Below are 7876 nucleotides of genomic sequence, written 5' to 3' on the forward strand. Positions count from 1 at the left end.
ATAAACACGTTTTGGACCATAAGTATATGACAATTTCTTAAAAGCAATTTCTTGGACAATCCAGACAATATGGCTTGTGTATGGAGTTATACGATGGTTTGGATTAATCCAGTATTAAATCTTTGGTTATTACAGAAATCAGTGGAGCCTATTCTTCCAAATAATCCTTAAATATTACTTATCTCAACTGAGATTTTGGTGAAAATTTAGCTTTAGAGCTTTTATTGACCTGCCAATGACCTGAAGTTAAGATTATTCTTTTCCACTGAATGAAGACAAACCACCTTATAAAAATTAACCCAGAAGGCTGTAAAGGTGATTTTTTTTCTTTATTTCTGATGACAGTTAAATAGCTTGACTAAAACTCTTGGTTCCCTAAATGGCTTTTCTGCTTTTGGATGGTGGTAGCCTGGGGAACATAAGGAAAGCAGATGTCTCCCAAAACTGGGAATAAAATACATGGTTTATTCCAATATATTCCAGGAAACCCCATTTCCAAGCTCTTTAAACTAAAACATTACTGTAAACATGTTGGCCTAAAATTTTTCAGAGCTAGAAATTTTCAGAACAATAGCTGCCAGTTGCCACCATGATGTTAGGAAATTCTCATTAATTCTTACATGATGGTTGTCTACATAGAGATGAAACACTTGACTAAATTGTCAGCAGCACAATTGTGTCCATACAGACAGATAGAACAAATTCAATGCTGTGATGTAGTTTAAATGTGCACATGTTAACTGATTAGAGAGCTAGAAAATGGAGGGTATTTTTAGCAGCATATGATAAATATATTTCTGACTGTTGAATATTGTTTAACTGCTTTGTTCTAGTTACTGGGGATTATACAGTAGGAAGTAATACAGACAGATGTCACGTCCTGATGGGCCTTGTATTTCAGGGATGAAATGGGATTTTGTTGGCGCCAAGACCTGATTGCTTTGCCAGTTACCCTCACCCCTGGCTCACGAGGAAAGTGTATTGAGGAGATTCTCGAGGAACCACATGAGTTTTAATATCATAAGCTTCTGCCCTGTATTGAAAGGTAATTTTTTGTTGAGGAGGGCTGAGTCACACTTATCCACAATGCCTCCTTTGGCATAGGCCCTAGATAACCCAAAGTGTGTTCTCTCAAACAGATGGAGAAAATTAGAGGATAGAAAATATCAAGAGTGTTACTGAGGATGCTGCCAGCTGAACCACCATTTATGTTTTTCATAGAACAAAACTTCAAGGGGTTTAAGTAGTCAGAGTGTGGCCAGCTTTTCCTTGAAAGTATTTACGCAAGGAAGATGTTCTATATTCTGGAAGAGGGCATATGTGAAGGGCATTTCGGAATGATGTAAGGTGTATGCACAGGTCATGTGATGGAGTGGTCTGGGGTAGCCTCAGACCACTCGTGACAGGCCACATGTGATAGGCCTCGAAGTTCGCCACTACAAGCATGGAGCCCATATCCACAACAACTTCAAGCGCAGAAGCTGGGCTGTGGGGTGTAGTAGTTCACGCCCAAAATCACAACTTGGTTTGGAAAATGAGAGGGAAGAGAAACTTCCCTAAAGAGAATTAGAAAAAGTAAAACTCATGAGGTAAAGCTGTATAGATTTGAAATAATAAATCCTTACAATTTTTACTTCCACTGGTCGATGGCAGGGTTTCTTAATCTTAGCAGTCTTAACCTTTTGAGTCAGATAATTTTTAATTCTTCTTGCAGAGGAGAAGAGAGGGTACAGGCTGTTCTGTGCACGATGGCATGTTTAGCAGCATCCACAGCCTGTACTCACTAAGTGCCAGTAGCAACCCCCAGTTTTGACAACCCAAGATGTCTCCAGACATTTTCTTCCCTGGAGGCAAAAACAGCCCTGGTTGGGAAGCACTGGTTTATGAATAGAAATAAAACTGTAGTGTTCTCCAGCCAAACAAACAACAACAAAATTAAACAGCATATTTTCAATTTATTGCCTTCCTTGGCTAGTACATAGCTCACTACAATTAAAGCTTCCAATTAGAAATTCTTCTTGGACTTAAAAAAAAAAAAAGCTATCAAGAGAAGCAATTTAGTAAGCTGGGTTTTAGGAATATGCTGTTAATTTTGCCTAAAATGTGGCATGCAAGGGGAGAGTTATGTAATCATTTTAAGTAAATAAGTGTTTCATTAAAAAAAAACCCTTAAAATGGTTTGATTCAAAAATACTGAAATCTCTTATCGTAGAAGCATAAATCTGAATAGTTTTGTTATTTAAATATAACTGGCTGTGAAATCATCAAGGAACATAGCTAATCGAACCTACCATTCTAGCCTACATCATCCTGTGCATTTCAAAAAATCCTAATGAAAACTACACGAAGCTTAAAGTATAGATAAACATATCAGAGTTGACAACCGTGAAACCATGCTATCCAAAGGCTACGTGCTCTGAGGAATTCCTGTTAGCTACAGCACATGTAGGATCAATGAAGGAAGAAAATGAAGGCTCCTGGGAAACAAAATTATGCCAGGACAAAGCTGAAGAAGAGCAACACCTGTCGGAAATGTCCTAAGATAAATTTCGAAAGGTGCCAGGCTTGGAGGTGGGGCAGGCACCGCCGGAAAAGACACTTTCCCTTTGGGACTTCCTTTGCCTGTGACAAGAACAGCACTTGATGCCCTTAGAATAGTTCCTGGAACATCTGAATAAATATCTGTGGAATGGCTGAATCAGGGGTGAGGACTGGCGTTCAGGTGGGGGTCCCCTCAATAGTATGACCACAACGGAGGCTCCACCTGGCAGGGAGTCATCCTGATGCTACAGGAGCTCATCTCTGGATTAGGAGGTCCTGTTCTACTTCCAGTTGCAAATATTACATATATTTATGTATGTGAGTGCTTATATATATATATATATATATATACACACACACACACACACACACACACACACAGCCGCCCAACAAGTTCCCCTTGCCCGCTGCCTAGACAGAGCTGATTTATCAAGACAGGGGAATTGCAATAGAGAAAGAGTCATTCTTGCAGAGCCAGCTGGGCGGAAAACTGGAGTTTTATTATTGCTCAAATCAGTCTCCCCGAGCGTTTGGGATCAGAGTTTTTAAGGATAATATGGCAGGGGCTCAGGAAGCGGGGAGTGCTGATTGGTCAGGTTGGAGATGGAATCACAGGGGGATCAAAGTGAGGTTTTCTTGCTGCCTTCTGTTCCTGGGTGGGATGGCAGAACTGGTTGAGCCACATTACTGGTTGGGGTGGTGTTGATGGCAGCGGCCCATCTGGAGAGGCTGCTGCCAAGATGCTGGCTGCAGCAGGGGAGGCGTCCCAGGGCCGCGCGCTTGGTGGAGCCCGCGGGAGCTGAGAACAGGAAGGAAAGAGCCCTGCCGGCTTCTGAGCTGGTGGGGAGGGAGCCCTGCAGTCCCAGGCGCAAGGGTAGCTGCCCAGCCATGGCTTCAGACCCGGGCATCCATGTCCCCGTGTCCTCTGGGGCGGGGGTTGGGGGCGGTGGCCGGAGGAGGGGGGAGGGCACGGGAAGCCTATATTAGACCAAATATCATGTTATATTTTGTGTATTCATTTTTTAACTCATAACAATCCAAACTAGATTTTCTTACTGATTTATTTTACTTGTTTATTAATCTCATTATGTAGAATATATTTTGGAAGTTGCCTTAATAGTTTTTAGAGGAAAACAGGATAAAAATAAATAAATATGTAAAAGATGCCAGTTTTCCTTATATGTATATGTAATGGTGTAAAAAAGCACTAAATAAAATAATCCGTATAGTGGCTAGGGAAATAATTAAAGTTAGGTTTTTGGTCCTGGCGAGGTGGCTCACGCCTGTAATCCCAACACTGTGGGAGACCATGGCTGGTGATCACTTGAGGTCACGAGTTCGAGACCAGCCTGGCCAACATAGTGAAACCCTATCTCTACTAAAAGTACCAGAATTATCCGGGTGTGATGGCGGGCGCCTGTAATCCCAGCTACTCTGGAGGCTGAGGCAGGAGAATCGCTTGAACCTGGGAGGCAGAGGTTGCAGTGAGGAGAGATGGCACCATTGCACTCCAGCCTGGGTGACAGAACGAGACTGTGTCTCAAATACAATAAATAAATAAATAAATAAATAAATAAATAAATAAATAGGTTTTTGAAGGAATCGAGATTATAAAAGTATATTTCAGAAAAGGGTGCAGCAAATATCTTTTGAAAATGCAAGGGCAGAGGTATTTCTGGCAGAAGTAATGATATGAGACATTTACTACAATATCGCTTCTACTTATGCTTCTGTAGTTTACTAAAGGCAATTATTGTTTCATTGGAAATGTAATTAATGAACGTGACCCTCAGTACCATAGATTGGGAGCCACAAGGCTGGCCCTGGGCTGACTGTGGTTGGACTCACTCAGGAACTGGCTTGGCTGGTCTCTTTTAAATAACTGCTGCCAGCTACTGCCAGGAGTTGCAGGATGGGAGAAGGGAAGCTGACTGGCCCAGCTGATCCATAAACAGCCCTTTAATAGCACTGCAGTTGCTTGTGATGAGTGCCTGGGATTCTAGGTTTGTTTTAATAGCACTGCAGTTGCTTGTGAGGCATGCCTGGGATTCTAGGTTTGTTTTAATCTTTCTTTTGTGAGGGGTTTCCATCTCACCCTCAACTCTGTTCTTTGCATCGTTCGGGCTACACATCCCAGTGTGTTCCCATCTCCTCCTGCCCTCTAGTCTGCTGAGGGTTTTGCATCCTGTTCTCAGCATGGACACATATCTTCTCTTTTGTCCATCACATGGTCATTTCAATAGGATGTTGGTAGAATAGGAAGAAGATGCACATGTGTTTAACTAATCATTTTTAATTAGAAAGCCAGAGGTTGAATTGAAAAACAACTCATATTGAAACTGCATTTGCAATAATTATAACAGTGAGAAAATTATGGCAGTGGGGAAGATCTAATATAGCCAACTTCCCTCTTATATTTTACCTTCATGTTGCCTTAATTATTACTGGGCTTAGGATGGGCTAGCTTTGGGAGACATGTAGTTTACAGTTTAAATAATAATAGTCCATCTCCAAAACCCAACCACCTTTACAAAGCTAATGAGAGACCACCAGGCTGGGAGGAGAGGAGCCTGAATTCTGCAAAGGTGTAGACATAAAAGACTGCCAGCCATTATTCCAGAGGTCATGAGATATGCACACCTGTAAGTCACCAGTCAGCAGGAGCTATAATCTTGGAAGGCCAGAGCTACAACCAGACATGTGCTCAGGAGAAAGGGGACTGCAGCAGGGAGAAGAGTGGGCAGCAGGAAAAATGTATCTCTGCCTCCCAGGTTCAAGCGATTCTCCTGCTTCAGCCTCCCAAGTAGCTGGGATTGCAGGCACTTTGGGAGGCTGAGACAGATGGATCACCTGAGGTCAGGAGTTCAAGACCTGCCTGACTAACATGATGAAACCCCATCTCTACTAAAAATACAGGCTTAAGATTTAAAATAAAATAAAATAAAATAGTAAACATCCCTGCCAGCCTGCTGAATTGACCTTAGAGAGTAGGGTGTGTAGTGGGTGTGACTCTCACTGTCACCATTGCTAAGTGCTTACTGACATCTTTCAGTCTTGGGGACCCATCCTCTGCTAAACTCTGCCATAAGAAGGTCATACATCCCCACTGCCTGTGATGTCTCAGTTTTGTTTTCTCGTTTCCTCTTACCTTTATGCAATCAGTTTCTAGGAAGATGTTGTTTTTTTCTTTTTTATGATTGAAAGAATTCGGTTAGTTTGACCCCATACCATTTCACTTTCAGCACGTGCTCTCTACGGTTAATGTCATCCTTGGGAAGCCCGTCTTGAACACCTGGAAGGTTTTACAACAGCAATGGACCAATCAGAGTTCACAGCTACTACATTCAGTGGAAAGATTTTCCCAAGCACTACAATTAGGAAATAGCCCTCCTTTGTCCTTCTCCCAAACTAATGTGCAGATGAGCAGCATGGTAATCATGTCCAGCCACCCAAAAACCTATCAACAGAGGTTTGTTTTCCCATACTTTGACCTCTGGGGCAATGTGGTCATTGACAAGAGCTATCTAGAAAACTTGCCATCAGATTCACCTATTGTCACCATGGCTTTCCCAACTCTCCAAGCCATCCTTGCCCAGGGTATCCAGGAAAATAATTTTGCAGAGAGCTTAGTGATGACGACCACTGTCAGCCACAATGTGACTATGCCATTCAAGATTTCAATGACTTTTAAGAACAACAGCCCTTCAGGCGGCGAAACAACATGTGTCTTCTGGAACTTCAGGCTTTCCAACAACACGGGGGGGTGGGACAGCAGTGGGTGCTATGTTGAAGAAGGTGATGGGGACAATGTCACCTGTATCTGTGACCACCTAACATCATTCTCCATTCTCATGTCCCCTGACTCCCCAAATCCTGGTTCTCTCCTGGGAATACTACTGGATATTATTTCTTACGTTGGGGTGGGCTTTTCCATCTTCAGCTTGGCGGCCTGTCTAGTTGTGGAAACTGTGGTGTGGAAATCAGTGACCAAGAACCAGACTTCCTATATGCACCACACCTGCATAGTGAATATTGCTGCCTCCCTTCTGGTCGCCAACACCTGGTTCATTGTGGTTGCTGCCATCCAGGACAATCACTACGTACTCTGCAAGACAGCCTGTGTGGCTGCCACCTTCTTCATCCACTTCTTCTACCTCAGCATCTTCTTCTGGATGCTGACACTGGGCCTCATGTTGTTCTATCGCCTGCTTTTCATTCTGCACGAAACAAGCAGGTCCACTCAGAAAGCTATTGCCTTCTGTCTTGGCTACGGCTGCCCTACCGGCCATCTCTGTCATCGTGCTGGGAGCCACCCAGCCCTGGGAAGTCTATATGAGGAAGAATGTCTGTTGGCTCAACTGGGAGGACACCAAGGCCCTGCTGGCTTTTGCCATCCCAGCAATGATCATTGTGGTGGTGAACATAACCATCACTATTGTGGTCATCACCAAGATCCTGAGGCCTTCCATTGGAGACAAGCCATGCAAGCAGGAGAAGAGCAGCCTGTTTCAGATCAGCAAGAGCACTGGGGTCCTCACGCCACTCTGGGGGCCTCACTTGGGATTTTGATCTCACCACTGTGTTCCCAGGGACCAACCTTGTGTTCCATATCGTATTTGCCATCCTCAATGTCTTCCAGGTGAGTTTTACAGTGCGGGACTTTCAGGAAGATTTTATTCCTGTAGGACAAATTAATGATAGAAACACAAACAAGAGTAGGAATGGGGAAGGATTTCAGCCCAGAGGAAGCCTCAGCTCTAAAGATTAGTAATAATGAGAATTCAATGAGATGGAAAGAACACATTCTTCTGATCCTATGGAACCTCATGCTTTTTATCACCTACATTATAATTTAGTGTCATTTCCCAGTCTCTGCTAAATACCCTGATTACACCAGTAAAAGGAAAATCCCCATTTGTCTAAGATTATCTTGATGCAGTCTATTATCTCCTAAATGAAAATCCTGTCTTTGTGAGGACAGGGATTGCCCTTTTCTTGTTCATCACTATACCTCTATGCCTGATAGAGACCTTGGTACAGAGTAGGTTCTCAATAATCATTTGAATGAAATAAATCCTGTGTACCACATAGCAGCTTCTCTGGAAACATCAAAAATCAAAGAACGAATGTCCTGTGAATGCCAGACAATCTGCTTGATTGTACTACAATGAAAAAACATCTTCTTTGCTCTCCTGCAGCACGTAACTAATTACAATGCAGACCAGTTTGTTAGAAGAAATATAACAGAGGTATAGATAGCAAGCCTTTAAACCACAAGGAAGGAAGTGATTAATTCTGTTTCACCCAGTGGAGAGGTGGTAATATAGGAAAAAAC

General features: G+C 42.9%; 1 pseudogene; it reads left to right on the forward strand.

The window, feature by feature from the left end:
* Nucleotides 5783-7181, forward strand: ADGRF5P2 (adhesion G protein-coupled receptor F5 pseudogene 2; annotated as a pseudogene).

Source organism: Homo sapiens, chromosome 9 (assembly GCF_000001405.40).
Source record: "Homo sapiens chromosome 9, GRCh38.p14 Primary Assembly".
Taxonomy (NCBI): Eukaryota; Metazoa; Chordata; class Mammalia; order Primates; family Hominidae; genus Homo; species Homo sapiens.